Here is a 27,675-nt window from a genome sequence, read left to right as displayed (position 1 = left end):
AGGTGTCAAGCTCTGCTTTCAAAGGAAGGGCAACTTACGTCCATTTTTCTTAAGGAAGGGTCTTAACCACTGAGGCTTACATAAATTTAGAGCTACTTATTTCCCCCATTGAAAAGGAAGTGGTAATATGACAGGAGGAATTTATTTTAGAACTACCTGACATGGTTGTGAGCCACACACGTGACTGCACCTGCAGTCTCTTCTTTCCTTGGAGAACTCCCAAAAGAAGAGGACAGAGATTTTGCCTAGGCTGGGGTGGGCACATGCCTACATGAAACAGGGACAAGTCTAGAGTAACTCTAGAAGGGTCCTCAAGAGGCCCACCTCCCTTTCAGGGCAGAAATTCAGCTGCTGGTCTCAGGGAAAAGCCTGTCTTGTTGTGTGGGGCATCCCCAAACACACCACATTTTAAGCAGAAATAAAAAATATTTGCTGGCAAAGTGGGGGTCAGAGAAGAGATGAGAGCACATCTCTAAAAAAGAAAGGCACAGCACCCAGGTTCTAGTTCTTGACTTTAATGCCCTTGGAGTGTACTGAGGCTCAATACACCAAAGCACTCACAGACAGGTACATGAACTCACACAGGAAGTGTTATAGTGTGTACATAAACCCAACACCATACAGAAGGAAGACGACGGACCCAGGTGACCTCCCACACTCGAGGTGACTGCCTGTTCCCATACTCACTGTTTGTTCCCACCTCCCTCAACCCCTGCCAACCCCCATCCTTCCCCACTCAGTATGTATATACACAGATATGATTCTTTCAGAATTCCAAAAAGTGCCTCTCCCACCCCAGTTCCCAACACTACAGCTTTGGATGAAAAAAGCCTCTCTCTTTTAAGGATCATGAGACAGGTACCACCTTCACGCAAGAGCCCCAGCAAAATAGTACCCAAGAAAGCTTAATAATGTATATTGGAATCAAATATGGATAGAACATATGCAGAAGGACAATATTTGAAATATTACTAGGATCAAAACGCTCAGCATCAGTAGTTTTTGTTTTGTTATTGCTGTTTGCTTTAACCTGTTCAAGAGCTGGTTTAGACCAAGACCACACATGGATGCTCACACCGCCTGTGTCTTATAAATGTCACTTCCTATTCCTCCAGCAAGCAGCCCAGAACAGGAAGATTATATCACCTGATAAGCCTTAGGCACAAGGCTCAGACAGCTCCCAGAATATCCTAAGCCCCAGGAAAGAAGAACAGAAACTTCCAGAGTACAGCTGACTGCTTTCTGCATGGTAAGCACTGGGCAGCCTGGTGAACAAGGCAGAGGTAAAATAAGGAAGGTGATGATTCCTTCCATTTATTTAGAGTGTTACGCTAAGAATTCCTCTCCTGGAGTGGGATGCATTTCAGTGTGGTTTTGCTTCAGTCTTTTTTTGTTGCTATAACATTAGCTTTTTTATTTTTAAGGAATTTTGTTATGGCGAGCATTGCACCATTGGTCCCATCTCCTGAAACTTTCACTTTGCTTTGACTCACTGATAACTACTGGCCCGTCTCAAGGCAAGATGAATCCAGTCCCTTGTCAAGTGAGAGGGATTTACTGACATTATGCACAACAATTCTATAAAGATGCACTTCCTTATGATCAGGGAGAAGCTTTCATCCTTTGGAGCCTTCCTTCCAGACCCAACCCTTCTTCTGTTCTGGGCCTGGCCATTTAGAGTTGAAAAGGGATCAAATGGGGAAAAGTCACTTCCACAGGGATAACCCCTTTATCTGGAGGCCGTTACCACAATCCACCACATCTAATTGCACTTTTCAGCCTGGCCTTGGTTTCTCATTAGAGAATGGCGAAACTAGGCCACTGAATTCCTTCACTCCATTTAGAAAGAGCTCTCAGCTTGCTGCCCAGTGTCACCTCTCTGCCTGTTCTACTGGCCCAGAGCCTTGTGTCCTACAGTGGCACAGAATACATTACTGTGAGGATCACAAAGGGAGTCAGAGAAACAGGGATTTCTCCAGCGAGAGAGAGGAACGGTGTTCTTACCCAGCATCCCTGTAATCCTAAGCAAGCCTTCAGGACCTGTTTTTGAGCAAACTTGCATTTGAGCAAACAAGTCTCTCAATGGCTTGCATGTATGGACTCTAAATAACCAAGCCCTGCCATGCTCCATGGGAGAAGGGGGAAGCAGAAGGGGTCAAGGCCACATTACTGAAAGCAATGGGCTTAATGAACTGCTCTCTGTTCACACAGACTTTTTCAATAGTCTGCCTCTCTGTCAAAAAATGAACACATATTAGGCAGTAGGTAACACCAATCAGAAGAACCAAAATGAAAGCCTTTTCTCTTAGAACAATACAAGAGCCATGTTTTGGGGCTAACCTCCAAGCAGGGACATCAGCTCCAGAAAAGAGACTATCCCTTTGTGTACGAGAACAATAGAGAGAGCGCATATCTCAGAACGTGAATGACTATCCTTTCCTCTTAGATCTCAGTATCCACCTCTTTTCCACCTCTAAAAGAGTACAACAGGAGTGCAAAACCACGCCCTGGAATCTTTGTTTACACATAGGGAACAGGAGATCACTGCCGTCCAGCCCCACGGAGGAATTCAGCCAAAGTCCCAGGGCTTGGTCTTCTCTTCCTCATATGAACACAGACTTCAGCTCCCCTTATACCCATCTTGTCTATCTGGTCCTGTAAGTCTGATACCAGTGAGGCTGTCCTCCCCAATTTATTTATTTATTTATTTATTTTTACGATGGTGTTGCCCAGGCTGGAGCACAGTGGCTAGCCACAGGCACGATCATAGTATACTACAGTCTTAATCTCCTGGGCTCAAGTGATCCTCCTGCCTCAGCCTCCAGAGTAGCTGGTACTACAGGTGTGTGCTCGAGTGGCCTGGACTACAGGCGTGTGCCCAAGTAGCTGGGACTACAGACATGTTCCTGGCTCGCATCAATTCTTTACACATTAAAAAAAAAAATCTCCCTTTACCCAGGAAGAGACAGGTACAATCATGATTAGAGAGAGACACCCTTAATGCAGCATGGAAATGTTACATTGTGATCAATGGTGCTACACAGTTCTTCCTTTAGGAGATGCATGTCCAGACCCTGACTAGTTGGCCTAGGCTGTAGACAGAGCAAGAAGGAAATGCAGTAGTAACAGATCCTTGGGGATCTTTTTCAATTTCTGAAATAGAGGAGTAAGTAAACCAAAATATACAGGAGTGAGGAGTAAAACAAAATATAAAGAAGTGAGTAAAACAAAAATAGAGGAGTGAGGAGTAAAACAAAAGGGAAGTTTTGTCTTCCTACGGCTCCTAGGATAGCTGTGTGTCTCACCCAGCCCTTCCTTTACCTTCTCAGAAGAGAGGCTCTCCTAGAAGGAGAATGTTACCAGGACAGAGGAACAGGGTTTAAAGAGAGGGGGTCCCCTTCCAAAGAGGTTCACCACAAACTGGATTCTAACACATGAGATAGCAGCCAAGGAGGTGTTCTGAGCCTCTAAAAAGGATGTTACATGTCAAAGATAACAGAAGATCTAGGCATCTTGCCTGCTTGACTTGGGGAATCTTCAAAAGAAGCCTCTGAAATTTGCATTCCAGCCCTGTGAGAAGATAACCCTGCAAGCAAGGAAGGTGGTGGAAGATAAGAGAAGCCGCGGCCCTAAGACAGGGCTGTAAACATTGTGGTTTTCTAAGGCCAACTGGGTGCATAGCTTTGGCAGCTATGGTTAAATCTCCAAAAGGTGGTGAAGAACATGTTCCGGAAGGAAAAGAAAAGTCTTTCCACATTTTGGGAATGTGGGCAACTATTCTTGGAGGAGAAGGGGTGCAGTGGGAGAGAAGATGCTCTTTCTTCTTCAGCCAGGGGCTATGGGGTGGCTGGTCAGGTAAATCCCCCATCATGTTCCGTGTTCACACCAATATACTGAGCACAAGGGAGGGACGCTTGAACAGGGTTGAGGAAGTGATTAGGCCTACATCGATTTGGTAACGTGGCTCTAAAATGGGCAGAAACTCTCTTGCAAGGTCAAGAAGGTGACAAAACTTCTCGGGACTTCCTGGTCAAGCCCTAGCTATCAGCCTCAAGGAAAGACTACCATGCCTTGAGGAAAGGCCAGGTGAGCGCTGGCTGGAGTGCCTGCAGGCCGCAAGCCCTGAGCCCAACCCTGAGGTGCAGTCAGGGAGATTGGAGCTACACCTCTGTCCCCTGGGAGCTGTGCCTCAGGATGCTGTTCTCACCTCGGCAGATTCTGGGGCAGTCAGCAGCCCCTTCAGGGATCTTACTCCCAGAGCCACCAAGCAAGGTGGACATCCTCCCTGATGGGACTCTCGCCTACCGGGGCTACTCACCACCATGTGATCTTGAACTCATAGATGGGGCGCTTGCAGTAGTAGTGGTTCACGAGGTGCTTGTCACACACCCCGATGCACTGGTGGTCCACGGTGAGACCCTGGGCCGAGAGGTCCGTGACCAGGCAGTGCAGCAGGTCATAAACATCAGCCACAGCCTCCCAGGGCCCAAAAGACACATCCACTTCACAGTGGTGCTCAAAAAGCTGCCCGTCACTCTCACTCCGCTCAAATCGCAGGGAGTTGAGGAGCGGACACTCATAGGGGGTGATGGGCATCTCCTCCTTGAAGACACAGACCTTGAGCTTGGCAAAGCGGGCCTTCCGCTGGACCGCACGCAGCCGGGCGATCTCCACAATCCGCTCCAAGTGGTCTATAAGGATGAACACAACACCTATCACTAGGGTGAAGAGGCAGGACAGGGCAGCAGAGATGCACAGAGAAACAGTCCTGAAGATGGCAGGATGCAGGAGGGGAAAGACAGATTTCCCGGGGAAGGGACTCAGGGGGCCAATGAAGGGCACAAACTTAAACAAGGGTCACGGTTCTCCACAGCAAAGGGAAGCCAATGGGACGAGGGCTGTCCTTCTGAAATACAATTTGCTAACTGTCATAGGCCAGGTAGGCCCACCTTAACCTGAATCTCCCCAGCGTGACTGGGAAGGGATGACACTCCATCGCATCTTGAGTAATCTGGATGAATGCTGCCCCCGGTGTTCTGATGGAGACCTAAACACTCACAGATGCCTTGCAGACCTCCTCCCACATACCCACCATCCTGGGCAGCTGACCCTCACCTTTGTAATAGGGCATGAGTCCCAGAAACGCTTGGCGCACCTTCTCGCCCTTCAGTGGCTGCATGTTCTCCAGCTGCTCCAGGAGGGGCCCGATGGCATAGTACTGGGCCTCTTTGTACACAGCTCGAACACGCTCCCTGGGTGGGAGGTCCCCTGAGCGCAGGAAATTCAGCACATCTCTAAGCAGGAAGGAAAGAGGGTCGGTGACAAGGAGCTTATGCTCCTGGGCAGTGCCACACAGTGTGCATTGGACAAAATCTAAAACCAGACTGCCAGCTGTGTTACACTGGGTAAATGAACTTAACTACTCCATGTCTCAGTTTCCCTGTCTGTAAAATTGGAGAAAACAATAAAACCTCATAATGTGTTAGGGAATTAAGTGATTAGAAAATCCCTGGCACAGAGTAGGGCCTCAATAAGTGTTATTAGTTGTTGTTATCAGTAAGCAACTATAATTACTATTATTAGGTATAATATTAGGTATTATTAGGTATATGTAAGTATAATGGAAAGATATGACACCTAGCCCTTTATATATATATAGTTTTAGAATTGAGGTGAAATATTCAATAAATGTACAAATATTAACTGTACAGTTCAGTTGTTTTTTTAAGTATGAATATACCCATCCAACCATCACCTAGATCAAGATGAAACATTTCCATTCCTTAAGGTTCCTCATGCCACTTCCCAGTTAATCCCTACGGAAGCAACCACTCTAACTTCTCCTTCCATCAGTAAAGATGAGTTTTGCCTTTTCTTGAAATATATATATAAACAGAATTATATAGTATGTTCTCTTTCATACCTGGCTTCTTTCCTTTAACATAATGTTTTTGAAATGTATCCACCAAATAAATAATAAAAACAAACCAGTAGTTTGTTTTTTTGTTTTTATTAGTTATTATTCATTATGTAAGTATACCCTTGCATGAATATGGTGTAATTTATTTACCCTGTTGTCTTGTTGATGGACATTTGGGTTGTTTCCAGTTTTTGGCTATTATGAGTAAAGCTGGGATGAACATTCCTATATAAGACCTTTAGGCCAGGCACGGTGGCTCACACGTGTGATCCCAGCACTTTGGGAGGCCGAGGTGGGTGGATCATCTGAGCTCAGGAGTTTAAGACCAGCCTGGCCAAAACGGTGAAACTCCATCTCTACTAAAAATACAAAAATTAGCCAGGTATGGTGGTGGGTGTCTGTAATCCCAGCTACTCTGGAGGCTGAGGCAGGGGAACTGCTTCAACCTGGGAAGTGGAGGTTGCAGTGAGCTAAGATCACGCCACTGCACTCCAGTCTGGGTGACAGTGTGAGACTCCATCACAAAAACAAACAAACAAAAGAAACCTTTAGTGGACACAAGCACAAATTTCTTTTAAGTATTAGCAGTAGAGTCATTCAGTCATAGGGTAAGCACGTGGTTAACAAAGTGGTTGCAGCATTTTACATTCCCAACAGCAATGCAGAAGAGTTCTAGGTGTTCCCCATCCTTGCCACTAGTATTATTCTGTAGCTATGCAGAGCAGGTAAAATGCCTAACTCTAATGTCTGAACAAACTGGTTTCAGGGCTGAATAAAATCACATATTGCATTTTCTTAAAATAAAAATTCAGTCCTTCTAATTCACTTTTCAGATTTTTTTTCTTCTTTTTTAAGAGATAGGATCTTGTTCTGTCACCCAGGCTGGAGGGCAGTGGTGCAATCATAGCTCACTGCAGCCTCTAACTCCTGGGCTCAAGCAGTCCTCTTGCCTCAGCCTCCCGAATAACTGGGACCATAGGTGCAAGCCACCAGCTTTTTAGATTATTTAGTGCTCAGAGTAATCAGATACATCACCCGTACGTGCGGAAGACAGTGAGTAAACCCCAAGATAATGCTGCTACCTCAATAACAGCTTAGTCTATGACCTAATACAACACCAGCTAACACTCGCTAAGTATTACTCCATGCCAGCCACTATTCATGGGTTATCCCATGTAATCCTCTCAATGACATTGGGGGTGTGTGCTATCTTATCTCTATGTCATAAATGAGGCTCAAGTGGGGCCCAGACAGGTTCAGGAACATGCTTGCTCAAGTAGCCACCGCTGCCAGAGGCTCAGATCCAGCCATGGCTGATTCTACACCCACATCTACCATGGTCCAGCTTCAGCAGAAACATTTAGACCAGAGTGCAGCAAGCTGATGACAATGGGGAACGACCCCAGACTGAGGCCCAAGCAGCCTTCACGGTGGACGCTAGGGATACATAAGCTGTATAGTAAGAAATGCACCCTACGAAATGCCCTGAACCGCCTATTTTATCTGAGTCATTCAACAACTTCATCTGCTGCTGATGAATCATAGGTCACAGGAGCTCATCAGCCAAAGTAAGAATGTCGCCATCTCCTGCTTTCTGCCATGCCCTTGCCTGGCGCTGTCACTCTCTAGCTGTGGCCACCTGAGCATGGGCACATCCACCTCAAGTCAAACCCAGAACCCCTCCCCAAAATCCCTTCTAGATCTTCAGCAAACCTTGGTGAGCTCTGAAAAACAAAACCCTGGGGCAAGGCCCAGCTAAGGGTGCTGTGGGAGCTGCTAGCTGGGGCCGGCACTTTCCTTCCCCAAACAGCCCGCAAACAAACATCTTTTTATAGTTCTGCAGAGCGATGTGACACTTTGTTTTCTCAGCATTGGAGGCAGCTGATAGCCCACTGGGGAAACCCAGATGCTTCCAAGCAAGTTATTTGACCAGGGGCTCCTTTCTGAGAATAAAAATGATCTTTCCCACAATGTGGGCAATCCTTCTTGGAGGCCAGCACAGAGATGTAGTGGTTGGAGAGTTTCTGCCTCCTGGGCACTTGGTTCAAGGTCTCTAGTCATCTCCAATGTCAGACTGAAGGAGCTAAGAGTTCCAGCCACGTACTCTGAAAAGGACATGGCTAGGGGTCACACCAAGGCTCTTTATATAATCCTCTTTGACAAGCCTGTGCAGCAGCTATAATTATTTCTCATTTCACAAACATGGAACCCCTGAGACATAAAGTCTTTAAATTGTTTACATGTAAGACTGTCAGAAGTCCTTTCTTGGGAAAGGTTTTGTTTTCTTTTTTAAGACACAGAGTCTCGGCCGGGCCGGACACAAACTACAGGCTGGGCCTGTAATCCCAGCACTTTGGCAGTCTGAGGCAGGAGGATCACTTGAGTCCAGGTGTTCGAGAACATCCTGGCCAACATAGTGAAACCTCATCTCTAAAAAACATCAAAAATTAGCCAGGCGTGGTGGTGTGCACCTCTAGTCCCAGCTACTTGGGAAACTGAGGCAGCAAAATTGCTTGCACCTGGGAGGTCAAGGCTGTAGTGAGCTGTGCTTGCATCACTGCACTCAGCTTGGGCAACAGAGCAAGACGCTGACTCAAAAAAAAAAAAAAAAAAAAGACAGTCTCACTCTGTTGCCCTGGCTGGAGCACAGTGGTAGGATCATGGCTCACTGCAGACTCCAACTCCTGAGCTCAACCAATCCTCCCACCTCGGCCTCACAAGTAGCTGTGACTACAGGCAAGTACCACCACGCCTGGCTGCTATTTTGCTGTTGTTGACATTGTGTTTTTCCACATTTTAGTGTTAAGTGACAAGAACAACAGAGGGTTTTTTTTTTTTTAAAGACTTTCCTTGGCAAAATTAAAGAACAACACTGTATCAGTCTTCCATCTCTTTTTATTCCTTTAAACTACTGAAAGAAGTCTGGTAACCACTGCTACACACCATGCCTCCTTCCCATGGCAACGCTGAGCCCCAAAATCCAGGTCTAAAGGTACTCTCCATGTTGTTTTAGACTATCCCCCTATGTGGGATTACACTTATTCCTCTCCACACAGATGACAACTTCCTGGTCTCATATTGCATAGGACAGCCAGGTGCAGTGGCGCACACCTGTAGTCTCAGCTATTCAGGAGGCTGAAGGGAGAAGACTGCTTGAGCCAGGAGTTTAAGGATGCAGTGAGCTATGATGGCACTGGTGAACAACCACTACATTCCACCCTGGGCAACATAGCAAGACCCTATCTCCAAAAAAACAGCCCCCGAAAAAAAAACAACACCTAAAACTTAAATAAATACTGTAATACCAGCATTTTAGGAGGCCAAGGTGGGAGGACTGCCTAAGGCCAGGAGCTTGAGACCAGTCTGGGCAACACAGCAAGATCCTATCTTTATTTTTATAGATAGATAGATAGATAGATAGATAGATAGATAGAATCACACACATCAAGACCAGTGGAAGCCTCAGTGCATCAGAGCTCATATATATACATATATATATATATATATATATATGTATACACACACCCATATATACATATATATATATGTGTGCATGTATGTGTACATCTGTGTGTGTGGGTGTATAATGAGATAAATAAATAAATAATAAATAAATAAAAATGAAATTTTGTTTTGTTTTTTGAGATGGAATCTCGTGTCGCCCAGGCTGGAGCGCAGAGGCGTGATCTCGGGTCACTGCAACCTCTGCCTCCTGGGTTCAAGCGATTCTTCGACCTCAGCTTCCTGAGTAGCTGGGATTGCAGGTATGAGCCACCACACCCAGCTAATTTTTGTATTTTTAGTAGAGATGGGGTTTCACCATGCTGTAATGAGCTGGTCTGGAACTCCTGGCCTCAAGTGATCTACCTGCCTCAGCCTCCCAAAGTGCTGGGATTACAGGCATGAGCACCGCGCAGAGCTGAAAATAAAAATTGTTTAATTGTCTATGATTGAAGCAATTTCATCCAGCCAGTGTGTTATTTCGAATTTCTCTGGCTGTCTTTGTCTCCTTTGGCAAAAAAAAAAAAAAAAATTGATCTCTTTCAATAAACCCATTTATTAAATTTCATCAATATGCTATCTCCTCTTCTAGGTACTATGGAAGATATCAAGGTCCCATACTCAAGCCTACGCTAATCACCTGCTAGGACTACAAAGTTGATTGTAGAGGGAGAGACATACCCAAAGTGTGTGCCATCTCGGTCGATGAAGTACCGGCCCTCGGAGTCCGTGGGGATGTAGTGCCGCCCACTGAACATGGCTGCCAACATGGTGTCTTCGTAGCACCGCAGTGTGGACAGGCGTGTAGTGAAGTGAGCCCCTCCGATGTTAAGGGGAACAACCTCAGGAAACTGGAAAGAAATCACCAGGGCTCTCAGGCAGGCAACGGGGAATGAGAGCTGGGGCTGCTCCATCTTCAATCCCTGGGGTCTGATTGGTGCCACACCATTCATTCAGTCACTCAAGCCCACGGGTCCATCTGAACACTTTCTTCTCTCTCCTCCCTCTGCCCCACCCTCATCATCTGCCAAGTCCTACCCATTCTAACCCTCATAGCTCTTTTTTTTTTGAGATGGAGTTTCACTCATCTCCCAGGCTGGAGTGCAGTGGCGTGATGTTGGCTCACTGCAAGCTCCGCCTCCCGGGTTCACGCCATTCTCCTGCCTCAGCCTCCCGGAGTAGCTGGGACTACAGGCGCCCTCCACCACACCCGGCTAATTTTTTGTATATATATATATATTTTTTTAGTAGAGATGGGGTTTCACTGCGTTAGCCAGGATGGTCTCGATCTCCTGACCTCATGATCCACCTGCCTCGGCCTCCCAAAGTGCTGGGATTACAGGCATGAGCCACTGTGCCTGGCCCCCTGATAGCTTTTAAATCAGGTCTCTCCACCTCAACTCCATTATCGCTGCTCTAGAGCTCAAGCCTTCAGTGTCCTTTCACTTCCTGAATTTACTATCTTAGTGCTCTTGCTCACATTGTCTTCTTTGCCCAAAATGCTCTTACCAGTCTCCTTCTTCTGTCTATATGGCAAGTTAAATGGACCCATACAGTGTTATAGGTTGTTCACTGCATAAAAGCACCTGGATGAGAGTCATCTGCTATGTGCCCTTTTTCTTTTTTTTTTTTTTTTTGAGACGGAGTCCCAGCCTGTGTCACCCAGGCTGGAGTTCAGTGGCGCGATCTCGGCTCACTGCAACCTCCGCCTCTCGGGTTCACACCATTCTCCTGCCTCAGCCTCCCGAGTAGCTGGGACTACAGGTGCCTGCCACCACGACTGGCTAATTTTTTGTATTTTTAGTAGAGATAGGGTTTCACCGTGTTAGCCAGGATTGTCTCGATCTCCTGACCTCATGATCCGCCCGCCTTGGCCTCCCCAAGTGCTGGGATTACCGGCGTGAGCCACCACGCCCGGCCTGCTATGTGCCCTTTTTCTAATTCACACCAACACACCATACAGTTTAGTGGCATCTACTCATTCTAGAAATTTCTATTCAAGTTCCCCTCATCTGTGAGCATTTCTGTCTACTGTCCCTCACCTGCCCCTAGGACAGAGTTAATGACACATTCTTCGACTGTGCCTTCACCGTGTGTCATATTCTCCTCTATAATAGCACCTAGCACGATACATCGCCAATTATTTCCCTCTGTCAATTCACTCCACTAGACCCCAAGCTTCCCAAAGACAGGGAAAGCATCTTGGTCACCAATCATGGGCTGCCCACAGCAGAGCTCAGTAGTTGTGTGTTGAATACTTCCAGGCATCTACTCCTCTCCTAATCTGTAGAGTGAGCCTGGTTTCCGGTCCAGCTAAGGTTCTGGAGGTAAGGGCTGAGTGAGGAACATGAAAATGATGGTATAAATGTGCCCTAAGAAGCTCGAGGTTTCCCTTAAAATGCAAGGCTTTTTTTTTTTTCCTGTTTTGCACTGCTTGTGGTTTCTACCAAACTGCATTTGAAAAAATGAGGTCAGTTTAAGTTCTCTTTAATCTTCCCACAAACTTCCTCCAGATCAATTCAAATTGTATCCCTATGCATCTTTTTTTTTTTTTTTTGAGACGGAATCTCATTGCAACACCCAGGCTGGAGTGCAATGGCACGATCTCGGTTCACTGCAACCTCTGCCTCCCGGGTTCAAGAGATTCTGCTGCCCCAGCCTCCAAAGTAGCTGGGACTACAGGTGGGCATGGCCACACCCAACTAATTTTTGTATTTTTAGTAGAGATGGGGTTTCACCATGTTGGCCAAGCTGGTCTCAAAGTCCTAACCTCAAGTGATCTTCCTGCCTTGGCCTCCCAAAGTGCTGGGATTATAGCCATGCATCCTTTTCAATATTACATCTCTCCTGCTCCAGTGAAAGTCTGCTTATCTACACAGTACCTTTCCCAGCTTTCAAATCCTTTGTGAAATAAAATAGGGTACAAATACATTAAATAAAGCTGACCCAGGGCCTTGTGCAGCGCCTGGCTCAAATAAAGACCCAAAATTCACCGAATGAATGAAAGAAATAGACAGGTAGTTACACTTCCGTGTGTGTATGCACTGTTACTCTTCTGCACCCACAGGACATGAAAATGCCTTGCGCTTATTCTGTAGGTCCTCTAAAACCATTTTATGTGTATATCAAGGGCTCAGATATCATTTTGGAATAATAATACTTAACATTTCTGGAGCTCTTTAAACCTTTTCTAAAGATACTTCATACCAATCCAAGTGCTTGCTCCATATTAGAGATGAGAGGATTGAAGCAGAGAGGACAAAAGCCATCGGAAACAGTTTTGGAGCTCACATGGGGCAATGTCATCAGTGGGGGGAACTGGTGGTGGGGCCCTGGTCTGCAATCTGTGGTCTTGTGCTCTTTCCCTCAAACCATATCATTTTCCCAATGACAGTGCACAAAAAAATAGCACCACTGTGACTAATGACTTTTTTCCAATTGCAGAGATTACTTCTAGATTTTTGCTCATTTTCCCATGGCATTGTGTGTATGGGGCTTGCAATCCCAGCACAACACTATCTGCTTCCCAAGAGCATCACCTAGCCCAGCCTGTTGAGGGCCTCAATTGTTGAGGGCCTCCATTGTCCTGGGACTCCGCATACCACATGCTCCTGGATCTGGCACTACCTTAGTCCCTGCCTCCTAGAAGCCATCTTCGGTGTCCAGTAATGCTTCACCTTCCCTCCTCTTTATTTTTTATTTGTAGAGATGGAGTCTGTGTTGCCCAAGCTGGTCCCAGACTCCTGGCCTCAAACCATCCTCCTGCCTTGACCTCCCAAAGTGCTGGGATTACAAGTGTAAGCCACCACACCTGGCATCGTTTCCCTTCTCTTGCTTTTTTTGTTTTTGTTTGTTTGTAGGTACGGTCTTACTCTATCACACCCAGGCTGGAGTACAGTGGCACAATTACAGCTCACTGCAGCCTCAACCTCCAGGGCTCAAGCAATCCTCCCAACTCACCTTCCTGAGCACCTGGGACTACAGGCACACACCACCAAGCCTGGCTAATTTTCATTTTTGTAGAGGCAGGGTCTCACTGTTGCCCTGACTAGTCTCTAACTGCTGGGATCAAGCAATCCTCCCACCTCAGCATCCCAAACTGCTGAGATTACAGATGTGAGCCACCATGCCTGGTATCTTCTCCCGTCTCTTGAGTGTCATTTCAGGTGTTGACATGATAGTATCACACACATTAAGTAAGACCCGTGGAAGCCCCTGTGCACCAGAGCACAGCAGCCTGTGAGTGAAAGCCATGGGATGCCAGGTGACCGTGCCTACATCTATGAACTGGCCTGCCCCTTATGTGCAGACAGCTCCTTGCCTTGTTCCTTAGGTAGCTGGAGACTAGGTGTGGGCAACCACTACAGCATCCTGTTGGATTCTCTAGAAGACATCTTTTTCTTTTCTTTTTTTTATTCATCCAACCCAAAATGCCTTTGTTTTTCCAGTCGTAGTAGGGACGGGGCCTCGCTATGTTGCCCAGGCTGGCCTCCAACTCCTGCCCTCAAGCGATCCTCCCTCCCAATGTGTTGGGATTACAGGCTCGAGCTACGGTGCCTGGTCAGACACACCATCAGCTCTCGGGGCTCCAGGGTCCCCCTCCCACGGCCCACCCTCCCTCCTGTCTTCGGTAAAAGTGGGACATGGCGATGGGAGTAAATCACCCCAGTGACTACTGGGCGGAGGGTGTAGGGGGTGGGGAAGCACACCTAGTGGGTGTAATTGACAGGGGTTGAAGGTGGGTGGGTAGGGGTGCAGGTGGGCGGGGGAGTTGCAGGTGGGCGGGGGAGGGGCGCAAGTCCGCGGGCCCCGCCCCCAACCCCGGCCCCGCCCACCCGCCGAGGACCGCTATGCCCCGCGCCCGCTTCTCCCCCGCGCCCCTCCCCACGCCCCGCGGCCCGCCGCCCGCCCGGGTACCTCCTGTGGCAGCAGGGGCAGCGCGTGCCCCGCCTGCGTGGCCGTCGGCGTGGCCGGCTCCAGAAAGTCGTCTTCGGCGTCAGAGCTGGACATGGCACCGTCCTGACGACGGCTGTCTGGCTCCCGCCCCGTGACTACCACCATCCCTCTGGCTCTGGGCAGTGGGCGCGGCTTCGGGCGGGCGGAGGCGGCGGCCCCGGGCACTCCCTACCGCCGAGCAGCGCCTGGCATGACGCGGCCGGCTGCGGGCTGGCCGGAGGGGGGCGAGAGGCAGTGCGCAGGCGGGAGGGCGGTGGCTCCCTCAACGCCGACCCGCTCGCGCCCAGCTGGGGCCTGACCCGACCGCCTCCCGCTACTGGCCGACGCCGCGCTGGTTCCGCCCTGATTGGCAGGAAGCTCGCCCAGTCGAAGAGCAGGCAGCGCCAGCGGCCGGCGCCTGAGTGGTCCCTGGGTTGGGGGGGGGGGGGGGGGGCGGCCTGCGAGCCTGCCGTGCACTGATTGGTCCTCTGGCCAGCGGGCGCGCCCTCTCCGAGAGACCCGGCGGTGGTGCGCCGCTACGCTCTCATAACTGGGCGTCGGAGTCTGCCGTGAAGAGGGTTCTCACCCGCGTCAGGGTAGACGCCTTATCCCTTCACACAGGGGGTCACGACTTACTCGTGTGTCTGGCCCCAGAGCAGCGGGTCCTTGTCTCCTCAATGGAAGGCCTGAGCAGCCTTTCCTGGAGGATGTGGCGGGAGGAGGGCTGAGGTGGCTGCGGACACGCCACCGCGGCTGGCCCCGCCCCGAGCCGCAGGGCACCGCCCGGGTGTCCAGTTCTTCCTCACTCGCTCGCGCAGAAATCCGAACGAGAAAACCCAAAATAGGAGCGCTTGAGTTCAATGAATAATGACAGTGACTCCCCACCGTGACCGTTTTTCCACCGGGACACACAGATGGAGACAGGCCCTTCCCCAAGATGCTCCCGGCTCCCTGGGAGGCGGAGTCCAGCCCTAGAGGCTCTATCAGCGCAGGGAGTCTCCTGGGGGTCAAGGTTCTTAGCCCGTTCAAGCCATTTTCTCCTTTCTTTAAAAGACAAAGTCTCACTCTGTTACCCAGGCTGAAGTGCAGTGGCGCAATCATAGCTCATTGCAACCCCTGGGCTCAAGCAATCCTCCCGCCCCAGCCTCCCGAGTAGCTGGGACCACAGACGCGCACCACCACACTCAGCTGATTTTTTAAAATTTTGGCCGGGCGCAGTGGCTCACGCCTGTAATCCTGGCTCTTTGGTAAGCGATGCGGGTGGATCACCTGAGGTCAGGAAGTTGAGACCAGCCTGGCCAACATGGTGAAACCTCATCTCTACTAAAAATACAAAATTAGCCAGGCATGGTGGCACACCTGCAATCCCAGCTACTAGGGAGGCTGAGGCAGGAGAATCGCTTGAACCCAGGAGATGGAGATTGCAGTGAGGCGAGATCACGGCCACTATACTCCAACCTGGGCAACAAGAGCGAAACTCCGTCTCAAAAAAGAAAAAAAAATTTTTTTTTTTTTTTTTTTTTAAGAAATGGGGTCTTGTCATGTTGCCCAGGCTGGTCTCAAACTCCTTGCCTCAAGCTGTCCTCCCTCGTCAGCCTCCCAAAGTGCTGGGATCGCAGGCGTGTGCAACCATGCTTCTCCTTTTCAAACCGTTTTCACACCCAGTTCCTCATCTCATTCTCACAGTGTAGTGACAGAAAAGAAAACTGAGTCGTAGATTAGACAGCTCCAGGATGGCAAAGATGAGCTGGTGGCATAGCACTTCCTCTGTTAGACCATCGCACTCCCAGCTGCAGGAGTGTCCTAGGTCTGTGTTTTCTCCAACTTCAGTTGCATCAAAATCCCTGGAGGGAGACCTTGTTTAAACACAGATGAAAAGGAATGAAATCACGTCATCTGCAGCAACGTGGATGGACGTCATTATGTTAAGTGAAATAAGCCAGGCACAGAAAGACATAAATATTGCATGTTCTTATCTGTGGCAGCTAAAACAAATCGATCTCATAAATTTAGAGAGTAGAAAGAAACCAGAGGCTGGGAACGGTTGGGTGAGAAATGAAGAGATTTAGGTTAATGAAGGACATACAGTTAGATAAAAAGGTTTATGTTCTATGGTTCAAAAGCAGAGTAGTGACTATAATTAACAACAATGGATTGTATATTTCAAAATAGCTGGAAGACACTTTGGGAAGCCAAGGCGGGAGGATACCTTGAGCCCAGGAGGTCAAGACCAGCCTGGACAACGTAGTTAGACCCTGCCTCTACAAAAAATAAAATATATATATAGCTGAGTGTGGTGGCTCACATCTGTAGTCCCAGCTACTAGGAGGGTAAAGCAAGGAGGATCATGCGAGCCAGGGAGGTCGAAGCTGCAGTGAGCTGTGATTGCACCACTGCATTCCAGTGCCTAGGTGACAGAGACTCTGTTTCAACAACAACAATAACAAAAATCTAGAAGAGAGGACTTGAATTGTTTCCAACACATGAGTAAATTCCCAAAGTGATGGATACCACTAATGCTCTGACTTAATCATTACACATCCTATGCACGTAACAAAATATCACAGATATCCCATACATATGTAAAATATTATGTATCCATAAAAAGTTAAAATAAAAAAATAAACAGAGCCCCAGTCCCACCCTCAGAGAATCTGAGTTGATCAGTCTTGGGTGAAGCACTTGGTAATTTGCATTCCTAACAAATCCCAGGATAATTATGATGCTGCTGGTCCATGAACCACACTTTGAGTAACACTGCCCTAAAGGAGGCCCCTTGAGGCCCTCTCTTGTCTTCCATTATACTCTAGTCTTTCTCAAAAATACCTGTAACAAAATTTCCTCTTTCAATCCTTATGCCAATTGGGATGTTTCAGCTGTACCAAGAAACTGCAACCAAAAGTAGTTTAAGCAGTCAGGGAATTTTATTTTATTTTTATCTTATTTATTTATTTATTTTGAGACAGAGTCTCTGTCGCCCAGGCTGGAGGGCAGTGGCGCAATCTCGGCTCACTGCAACCTTCACCTCCTGGGTTCACGCCATTCTCCTGCCTCAGCCTCCCGAGTAGCTGGGACTACAGGCGCCCGCCTCCACGCCCGGCTAATTTTTTGTATTTTTTTTAGTAGAGACGGGGTTTCACCGTGTTAGCCAGGATGGTCTTGATCTCCTGACCTCAGGTGATCTGCCCGTATCGGCCTCCCAGAGTGCTGGGATTACAGGCATGAGCCACCACGCCTGGCCTACACAGCAACTTTTATTGAAGCAGCAATGTACAGCAGCAGCAGAGATACTGCACCTTGCAGAGCAGGGCTACCCCATAAGCAGTGTGCCCAGCGTAGCAGCTCAGAGGCAGTTCTGCACTTATATTTATACCAACTTTTAATTATATGCAAATTGAGGGGCAGTTTACATAGCAATTTCTAGGATGAGGTTGGTAACTTGAGGGTCAGGTCATTGGGTCACTGCTGTGGAAAGGGGCAGTGTTGCTATGGCAATGGTAAACTGACCATGCACACTTGTGTGTGTATCTTATGGAAAGCTGCTTCCACCCCAGACCTGTTTTAGCTAGTCTTCAATTTGTTGTGGTGTCTGAGTTCCACCTCCAGAGTCCAGTCCTACCTCCTTTCTCACTCCTTTGTTTTTTTGTTGTTGTTTGTTTTTATTTTTTGAGATGGGGTCTCACTCTATTGCCCAGGCTGGAGTGTGGTGGTGTGATCTTGGCTAACTGCAACTCCACCCCCTGAGTTCAAGTGATCCTCCATCCTCAGCCTCCCAAGTAGCTGGACCACCAATGTGTGCCACTATGCCTGGCTACATTTTTGTAGTTTTGGAAGAGATGGGGTTTCACCATGTTGTCCAGGCTGGTCTTGAACTCTTGACCTCTGGTGATCCGCCCTCCTCGGCCTCCCAAAGTTCTGGGATTACGGGCATGAGCCACCTCACCTAGCCCTACTTCACTTCACTCCTTTGAATTTCACAACCCTCTTCTGGCTCTCCTCTGATCTCCATCTCATTTCTATCTTTTTTGCAGATCCCATTCTCCCCTCTCATCAATTTTTTTTTTTTTTTTTTTGAGGCAGGGTCTCACTGTCACCCAGGCTAGAGTGCAGTGGCGTGAACTCAGCTCACTGCAACCTCTGCCTGCTGGGCTCAAGGAATCCTCCCACCTCAGCCCCCAGGTAGCTGGGAGTACAGGTCACCTGTACTCAGGTGACCTCAGGTGATCCACCTACCTAGGCCTCCCAAAGTGCTGGGATTACAGGTGTGAGCCACTGTGCCTGGCCAAAAAACACTTTTTAAGGATGAAAGAGCAAGTGAAGGCCAAACTTCTAACTCCACCCTCTCAACTGATATTTCTCCCTTCATTCCTCTTGGCTAAGGGACAAATAATTGAAAGAATTGAAGGAACTAGCCAAGCGTGGTGGCTCACACCTGTATTCCCAGCACTTTGGGAGGCTGAGGCAGGTGGATCACCTGAGGTCAGGAGTTTGAGACCAGCCTGGCCAACATGGTGAAACCCTATCTCTACTAAAATACAAAAATTAGCCAGGCGTGGTGGCAGGCACCTGTAATCCTAGCTACTCAGGAGGCTGGGGCATGAGAATCAGTTGAACCCAGGAAGCAGAGGTTGCAGTGAGCCGAGATCACACCACTGCACTCCAGGCTGGGTGACAGAGTGAGACTTTGTCAAAAAAAAAATTGAAAAATTGAGGGAAATAAAGACAGATGAAAATATTTGGTGGGAAGATGATGTTAGATTTGGACATGGTAAGTTTGAGGTGCCCCTGGGGACATCAGTAGGCACTGTCGGTTTCACGTAGGATAAAAATTTGAAGTTCAAGAGAAAACTCTGGGTTGGCAATTTAAATTTAGGAATCTTTACTATATACAGGTGGTAATTGAAACCAAGAAAGCAGATGAAGTCACTTTGAGAGAATATGCAGAATGGGAAAGGAAGCAAGCCAGTGACTAATTCTAGAATCCAACACTGCAGAATCCATGAGAAGGGGCTGAACACGGTACCTCACACCTGTAATCCCAGCACTTTGGGAGGCAGAGTCGGGCAGATCACCTGAGATCAGAAGTTAGAGACCAACCTGGCCAACATGGTGAAACCTGGTCTCTAATAAAAATACAAAAATCAAAAATTAGCCAGGTGTGGTGGTGACTGCCTGTAGTTCCAGCTACTCAAGGGGCTGAGGCAGGACCGTCACTTGGACCAGGAAGGTGGCGGTTGCAGTGAGCTGAGATCATGCCATTGCACTCCAGACTGGGTGACAGAGTGAGACCCCGTCTCAAGAAAAAAAAAAGAAAAGAAAAAAGTTTTTTTGCCAGCAGCCTCCCCTGGCATAAAAGCTTGGCTAAGGGCCTACTGCTCTCAACTCCCCCTCAGTCGCTGATACACCCCCATTCATTACCCACTGTTATTCCTTAGCTTGGACTTTTCTTCCAATTGTCCACTTCGTAAATGTGGCCAATAGTTCAGATTGGCTTTCTCATCTCTTTTTTTTTTTGAGACACAGTGTCACTTTGTTGTCCATGCTGGAGTATAGTGGTGTAATCTCGACTCACTGCAACCTCTGCCTCCCTGGTTGAAGGGATTCTCCTGCCTCAGCCTCTCGAATAGCTGGAATTACATGCGCACACCACCACGCCTGGCTAAATTTTTTTTGTATTTTAATGGAGACGGGGTTTTACCATGTTGGCCAGGCTGGTCTCCAACTCCTGATCTCAAGTGATCCACCTGCCTCGGCCTCCCAAAGTACTGGGATTACAGGTGTGAGCCACCTCTCCCAGCCCTCTCATCTCTTTTCTGGCCTCCCTAAAGTGTGCCTCACTTGAATGCTGGAAGCTTGAAATCTAAAAGTTACTTTTTCCCAGAGTACCTTGTGTTCTGGGTTCTGCAGGTGACCCAGCCTTCACCAAGCGGATCAATACCCTGGAGATTTGGAGGGCAAATGTGAACACCGGATTGAAGACCATATACTTTTTGCTCTTTCTGCAGGCAAGCTTGGACACGAATATGTTAAGACTTTTCTTTTTTGCTGTGGCTGTAGCAGAGGTCCCAGTGTTGGTCTCCAGCTTTATGGATGTCAAAAGACTGGATGGATGGATGGGTGCCATGTGGCTCATGCCTGTAACCCCAGCACTTTGGGAGGCCAAAGCGGGCGGATCACCTGAGGTCAGGAGTTCGAGACCAGCCTGGCCAACATGGCGAAACCTCGTCTCTACTAAAAATACAAAAATTACCTGAGCATGGTGGTGGGTGCCTGTAATCCTAACTATTCAGGAGGCTGAGGCTGGATAATTGCTTGGACCTGAGAGGCAGAGGTTGCAGTGAGTGGAGATCGCACCACTGCACTTCCTGGGTGACAAAGCAAGACTCTGTCTCTAAAAAAAAAAAAAAAAAAAAAGACAGATGGAAGCATCCATTTTGCTGTTCTATTCATCTCTGTAATATCTCCGCAGTCTAGTACAATGCCTGGCGCATAGTAGAAACTCAATAAATTGATATGTGAAAGAAGTTTGTGCTATGATCAAGCTCAAATAGTTACCAATGACCATAGATTTTTTTCTCATCTATTTCATTAGTGCTATTAGCATATAGAGGAATAAATTGCTGTTATTAATATCATAGAGGTAGGGAATCCCAGGATACTATAATGCTGGGCTGGTGGGAAGGGTCTTAAGTGGTGAGCGTCCTGGGAGTATTAACCAGAGCAAAGCATTCAGGGAGGGCTCTTTGGTTTGGGATGCACGTTAGTCACCATAGATATCTTCACTGTGCACGATGACACAGGTCCTGAAGTGCTCTCAACTCAAGCTCTTTACATGTAGGCTTCTTTTCCTTTTGTTGTTTTTTTAAAAACAGAGTCTCACTCTGTTGCCCAGGCTGGAGTGCAGTGGTGTGATCATAGCTCACTGCAGCCTCAAACTCCTGGGCTCAAGTGATCCTCCCATTTTAGCCTCCCGAGGAGCTAGGTCTTGCAATGCTTTTTCATACAATGTGTGGAATTTACAGATAACACAAGTAGTTATTATTTTTTTTAATTCCTAGGGCCGGATGGTGGTGCCAAGGTTGTCTGGCTACTTATCTTCTGTTTCTTTCCAACTTTTTGCTTTCTCTCTTTCCTCCCGTTTTGTGAACTAGGCAATGTCGTGGGAGAAGGGCAGCAGGAGTAGTAGTGGGCTCCTTCCTTATCTTTTTTTTTTTTTTTTTTTGAGACGGAGTCTCGCTCTGTCGCCCAGGCTGGAGTGCAGTGACGCGATTTCGGCTCACTTCAAACTCCGCCTCCCGGGTTCACGCCATTCTCCTGCCTGAGCCTCCTGAATAGCTGGGACCACAGGCGCCCGCCATCATGACCGGCTAATTTTTTTTGTATTTTTAGTAGAGACGGGGTTTCACCATATTAGCCAGGATGGTCTCGATCTCCTGACCTCGTGATCCGCCCGCCTCAGCCTCCCGCCCAGCCTCCTTCCTTATCCTGACCTTGTGATCCATCCGCCTTGGCCTCCCAAAGTACTGGGATTACAGGCATGAGCCACCGCACCCAGCCTTTTCTTTTTCCTTTCTTTTTCTTTCCTTTTTTTTTTTTTTTTTTTTTTTTTGAGACAGAGTCTCACTCTGTCGCCCAGGCTGGAGTGCAGTGGCACAATCTCAGCTCACTGCAACCTCCGCCCTCCGAGTTCAAGTGATTCTCCTGCCTCAGCCTCCCAAGTAGCTGGGATTACAGGCGCCTGCCACCGTACCCAGCTAATTTTTTGTATTTTTTGGTAGAGATGGGGTTTCACCATCTTGGCCAGGCTAGTCTTGAACTCCTTACCTCGTGATCCACTCGCCTCAGACTCCCAAAGTGCTGGGATTACTGGCGTGAGCCACCGCGCCCGGTCTTTGTTTTCCTTTTTTTTTTTGTTTTTGTTTTTTGAGACAAGGTCTCACTCTGTTACCCAGGCTGGAGTGCAGTGGTGTGAACATGGCTCACTGCAGGCACGACCTCCCAAGCTCAAGTGATTCCCCCACATCAGCCTCCCAAGTAGCTGGGATTACCGGAGTGCACCACCATGTTCTGCTGATTTTTAAAATTTTTCATAGAGTTGGAGTCTCACTACGTTGCCCAGGCTCGTCTTTTTTTCTTTGAGACAGGGTCTCGCTCTGTTGCCCAGGCTGGAGTGCAGTGGTGTGATCATAGCTCACTGCAGCCTCAAACTCCTGGGCTCAAGTGATCCTCCTATTTTAGCCTCACGAGGACCTAGGTCTATAGGCATGCACCACCATGCCCAGACAATTTTTAAAGTTTTAAAATTTTGTGTAGAGACAGGGTCCCACTATGGTGCTGAGGCTGGTCTCGAACTTCTGGCCTTAAGTGATCCTTTTGTCCTAACCTTCCAAAGTGCTGGGAATACAGGCATAAGCCACCATGCCCAGCCTACATGTAAGCTTTTGATGAATTCTGTTTTCTATTTTTATTTATTTTATTTAATAAAATTATTAATATAATTATATTGAAGTGGCTCATGCCTGTAATCTCAACACTTTGTGAGGCCGAAGGAGGTGGATTGCAAGGTCACTAGTTCGAGACCAGCCTGGCCAACATGGTGAACCCGTCTCTACTACAAAAAAATACAAAAAATTAGCCAGGCGTGGTGGCATGAACCTGTAGTCCCAGCTACTCAGGAGGCTGAGGCAGGAGAATCGCTTGAACTCGGGAGGCAGAGGTTGCAATGAGCTGAGATGGCGCCACTGCACTCCGGCCTGGGTGACAGAGTGAGACTTCATATCAAAAAAAAGAAGAAGCAGGGTGCCGTGGCTCATGCTTGTAATCCCAGCACTTTGGGAGGCCAAGGTGGGCAGATCATGAGGTCAGGAGATCAAGACCATCCTGGTTAACATGGTGAAACACCCGTCTCTACCAAAAATACAAAAAATTAGCCGGGCGTGGTGGCGGGCGCCTGTAGTCCCAGCTACTCCGTAGGCTGAGGCAGGAGAATGGCGTGAATCTGGGAGGTGGAGCTTGCAGTGAGCCGAGATCGTGCCACTGCACTCCAGCCTGGGTGACAGAGCGAGACTCCGTCTCAAAAAAAAAAAAAAGAAAGAAAGAAAATAGTGTTCCTTGAAGTTAGTTTGAGAATCCATAGTTGTCTTGCATAATATTGCATGTTGCTTTTTCATCATTATGTTTCTTTCTCATTTATTTATTTATTTATTTATTTTTGGAGACAGGATCTCCCGCTGTCCTCCAGGCTGGAGTACAGTGGCACCATCATGTGGGGAAAAGAAAGAGAGATCAGACTGTTATTGTGTCTATGTAGAAAGAAGTAGACATAAGAGACTCCATTTTGTTCTGTACTAAGAAAAATTCTTTTGCCTTGAGATGCTGTTAATCTGTAACCCTACCCCCAACCCTGAGCTCCCAGAAACATGTGCTCTGTCAACTCAAGGTTTAATGGATTAAGGGCTATGCAGGATGTGCTTTGTTAAACAAATGCTTGAAGGCAGCATTCTTGTTAAAAGTCATCACCACTCCCTACTCTCTTGTACCCAGGGACACAAAACACTGCAGAAGGCCGCAGGGACCTCTGCCTAGGAAAGCTAGGTATTGTCCAAGGTTTCTCCCCATGTGATAGTCTGAAATATGGCCTCATGGGAAGGGAAAGACCTGACCGCCCCCCAGCCCAACACCCATAAAGGGTCGGTGCTGAGGAGGATTAGTAAAAGAGGAAGGCCTCTTTGCAGTTGAGATAAGAGGAAGGCATCTATCTCCTGCTCGTCCCTGGGGCAATGGAATGTGTTGATGTAAAACCTGATTGTATATTCCATCTACTGAGATAGGAGAAAACCACCTTAGGGTTGGAGGTGAGACATACTGGAAGCAATACTGCTCTTTAAGGCGTTGAGATGTTTATGTATATGCACATCAAAAGCGCAGCACTTTTTTCTTTACCTTGTTTATGATGCAGAGACATTTGTTCACATGTTTTCCTGCTGACCTTCTCTCCACTATTACCCTATTGTCCTGCCACATCCCCCTCTGCGAGAAACGCCAGATAATGATCAATAAATACTAAGGGAACTCAGAGACTGGGGCCGGCGCTGGTCCTCCGTATGCTGAGCACCGGTCCCCTGGGCCCACTTTTCTTTCTCTATACTTTGTCTCTGTGTCTCTTTCTTTTCTCAAGTCTCTCATTCCACCTGACGAGAAATGCCCACAGGTGTGGAGGGGCAGCCCACCCCTTTACCATGGTAGCTCACTGCAGCCTCAAACTCCTGGGCTCAAGGGATCCTCCCACCTCAGCCTTCCAAGTAGCTGGCATTACAGAATGAGCCACTTCCGCACGGGTAGTTTAAAAAACTTTTTGTAGAGATGAGGGTCTTGTTATGTTGCCCAGGCTTGTCCTGAGTTCCTGGCTTCAAGTGATCCTCCTGCCTCAGATTCCCAAAGTGCTAAGATTACAGGTGTGAGCCACTGTGCCTAGCTCAATCCTTACATCTCTAAGTGAGCTCTTGTTCTAGCCACCTCTGGAAGCACTGTGGTCAAATCCCACTCATGGGTGTAAGTATATTGGAGCCACTTCTTCAGTTCTCGTCCCACACCATAGCCAGTTTCTGTGTCATTTCCACTGGTGCATCATTTCAGATTTAAGCACCAAACAGCTTCTATATCTATTACCTCAGTATGATTCCATTAAGTGGAAAAAGAATTTCGCTGGAAATATAATCCCTGACACCCAGATAAAATGAACCCTGTCTCCTAATGTCCCCATCTTCTAAGGCTTCTCCGCTCTGCAGGCTTCCTTCTCCCAGCCCTCCCAACCCTCTTAAGAACAGCATTGGATTTGAGGCTGGGATGCACCTGCTTCTCTCAGAGGCAGGAGTAGAGTACCAGGGAAAAACAAGTTGCCATTTGGTGGCTTCTAGCTCTGGAGTTCTGACATTTGTTGGGAACTGCCAGCTGAGAGTTCTCTTGGTTGGCTAGAAACATTAAGGCATAGTGAAATATTAAAATATCCCAAGGCAGTATAGGATTTAAATAATCTGTAAGAGCAGGGGGGCCCGGCGCGGTGGCTCACGCCTGTAATCCCAGCACTTTGGGAGACAGAGGTGGGTGGATCACTTGAGGTCAGGAGTTTGAGACCAGCCTGGCCAACATGGTGAAACCTCGTTTCTATTAAAACAACAAAAATTAGCTGGGTGTGGTGGTGGGTGCCTGTAATCCTAGCTACTTGGGAGGCTAAGGCAGGGGAATCACTTGAACCTTGGAGGCAGAGCTTACAATGAGCCGAGATTGTACCACTGCACTCCAGCCTGGGCAACAGAGTGAGACTCCGTCTCAAAAAAAAAAAAAAAAAAAAAAAAAAAAAAAAAAGAGCAGGGGTCTGCAAAACTTTTCTTTTTTTAAGAGACAGGGTCTCAGAGTGCAGTAGTGCGATCATGCTCACTGCAGCCCTGAATTGTCAGGCTCAAGCTATTCTCCCGCCTTAGCCTCCCAAGTAGTTGGAACTACAGACATGCACCACCATGGTCAGCTAATTTTTTAATTTTTTGTAGGGACAGGGTCTTGCTATGTTGCCTAGGCTAGTCTCCAACTGCTCGCTCAAGCAATCCTCCCACATCGGCCTCCCAAAGCATTGGGATTATAGGCGTGAGTCACCGTGCTTGGCCTGCAAACTTTTTCAGCAAAGAACCTGATAGTAAATATTTTCAGTTTACCAGGCCATATGGTTTCTGTCTTTACTCAACTGTGCCCTTGTTGCAGGAAAGGAGAATGGACAGACAAGACATAGACGAACGGGCATGGTGAGACTGGGCTCACTCACTGTAGTTGCCAACCCCTGCAAAGGAGAACGAAATAAATCTTAACCGCACTGTGATATTTTCAAGTGTACCCAGTCTAATGTCCTAATAGCTGACACACTGCTTCATTTCTGATTCGAGTTTCAGTTATTCAGGCCAGGCACGGTGGCTCATACCTGTAATCCCAGCACTTTGGGAGGCTGAGGTGGGTGGATCACTTGAGGTCAGGAGTTCGAGACCAGCCTGGCCAACATGGTAAAAACCCGTCTCTACTAAAAATATAAAAATTAGCTGGGCATGGTGGCACATGCCTGTACTCGGGAGGCTGAGGCAGGAGAATCACTTGAACCTGCAGGCGGAGGCTGCAGTGAGCCGAGATCGTGTCACTGCACTCCAGCCTGAGCGACAGAGCAAGACTTCATCTCAAAAAAACAAATAAAAAAAACCTTTCATTGTTTTTGTACTTTTTTCACAAAAGTAATTCATATTCATCATAGCACATTTAGAAAACAGCATTAGGGTCAGGTGTGGTGGCTCATGCCTGTTATCCAGCACTTTGGGAGGCCAAGGCGGGAGGATTACTTGAGCCCAGGAGATGGAGACAAGCCTGACCAACATAGCAAGACCCCTGTCTCTATTTAAAAAAAAAGAGAGAAGAAGAATAGAAAACAGAGTTAATCAGTTAACAGCCATCAGGGTCTGTTAATTTTTGATTAACAAGGTTTATCAAAAATCCTTACAGCTTCACCACTAAGAGATACCACTGGCAACATTTTGCTTTAATGTCCATCAATTTAGTGATGCTATTTATTTTTCTTTTCTTTTTCTTTCTTTCTTTTTCTTTTTTTTTTTTTTTTGAGACAGAGTCTTGCTCTGTGGCCCAGGCTGGAGTGCAATGGTGCTATCTTGGCTCACTGCAACCTCCACTTCCTGGGTTCAAGCGATTCTCCTGCCTCAGCCTCCCAAGTAGCTGGGATTACAGGCACCCACCACCACGCCTGGCTAATTTTGTGTATTTTTAGTAGAGATAGGGTTTCACTATGTTGGCCAGGCTGCTCTTAAACTCCTGACATCGTGATCCACCCTCCTCGGCCTCCCAAAGTGCTGGGATTACAGGCATGAGCCACCGCACCTGGCCTTTTCTTTGTCTCTCCTTTTTTTTTTTTTTTTTGAGACAAGGTCTCACTCTGTCACCCAGGCTGGAGTGCAGTGCAGTGGTGTGATCTCGGCTCACTGCAGTCTCAACCTCCACAAGCTCAGGTGATCCTTCTGCTTCAATTTTTGTATTTTTAGTAGAGATGGGGTTTCACCATGTTTCCCAGGCTGGTCTAGAACTCCTGGGCTTAAACAATCCTCCTGCCTTGGCCTCTGAAAGTACTGGGATTGCAGGTGTGAGCTACTGTGCTTAGCTTCTATTTGCTTTTTTGTCTATCCTTTAAATAATAAAAATGGAGAGCCAGGCACAGTGGCTTGCATCTGTAATCTCAGTGATGCTTGAGACCACAAGTTTGAGACCAGCCTGGGCAA

The 27,675-nt window shown here is 47.7% G+C and overlaps 1 protein-coding gene across 2 annotated transcripts, besides 4 other annotated features; it reads right to left on the bottom strand.

Moving 5' to 3' along the window:
* On the bottom strand, positions 318-14,666 carry KCTD7 (potassium channel tetramerization domain containing 7). 2 transcript variants are annotated; one of them, NM_001167961.2, is made up of 5 exons: positions 14,339-14,666; positions 10,103-10,272; positions 5,116-5,294; positions 4,319-4,691; positions 318-3,153 (listed from the first exon to the last, which is right to left on the bottom strand). In NM_001167961.2, coding segments are annotated over exons 1-5 (867 nt in total). In that variant the 5' UTR covers positions 14,483-14,666; the 3' UTR covers positions 318-3,152. The 2 variants fall into 2 exon arrangements, with proteins under 2 accessions (NP_001161433.1, NP_694578.1); NM_153033.5 differs by having other exon boundaries at positions 500-4,691.
* Positions 7,197-7,286: an enhancer, noted in NCBI's record as "active region_26085". NCBI's record gives its function as "activates an Ori minimal core promoter by ATAC-STARR-seq in GM12878 lymphoblastoid cells {active_cell/tissue: GM12878}" and the evidence as "EXISTENCE:reporter gene assay evidence [ECO:0000049][PMID:35858748]".
* Positions 10,981-11,030: an enhancer, noted in NCBI's record as "active region_26084". NCBI's record gives its function as "activates an Ori minimal core promoter by ATAC-STARR-seq in GM12878 lymphoblastoid cells {active_cell/tissue: GM12878}" and the evidence as "EXISTENCE:reporter gene assay evidence [ECO:0000049][PMID:35858748]".
* Positions 14,306-14,875: a silencer, noted in NCBI's record as "silent region_18210". NCBI's record gives its function as "represses an Ori minimal core promoter by ATAC-STARR-seq in GM12878 lymphoblastoid cells {active_cell/tissue: GM12878}" and the evidence as "EXISTENCE:reporter gene assay evidence [ECO:0000049][PMID:35858748]".
* Positions 15,886-16,085: a silencer, noted in NCBI's record as "silent region_18209". NCBI's record gives its function as "represses an Ori minimal core promoter by ATAC-STARR-seq in GM12878 lymphoblastoid cells {active_cell/tissue: GM12878}" and the evidence as "EXISTENCE:reporter gene assay evidence [ECO:0000049][PMID:35858748]".

This window comes from Homo sapiens, chromosome 7 (assembly GCF_000001405.40).
Source record: "Homo sapiens chromosome 7, GRCh38.p14 Primary Assembly".
Lineage (NCBI taxonomy): Eukaryota > Metazoa > Chordata > Mammalia > Primates > Hominidae > Homo > Homo sapiens.
The sequence above is the reverse complement of the archived record's forward strand: the minus strand, read 5'-3'. Positions and strand labels throughout refer to the sequence as shown.

Coding starts and splice junctions, on each gene's coding strand:
- KCTD7 (NM_153033.5), bottom strand. CDS start 14,482: ATGGTGGTAGTCACGGGGCGGGAGCCAGACAGCCGTCGTCAGGACGGT. Junction 10,273..14,338: donor TGCCCCTGCTGCCACAGGAG/GTACCCGGGCGG, acceptor ATTTCTTTCCAG/TTTCCTGAGGTTGTTCCCCT. Junction 4,692..5,115: donor ACTCATGCCCTATTACAAAG/GTGAGGGTCAGC, acceptor TCATCCTTATAG/ACCACTTGGAGCGGATTGTG.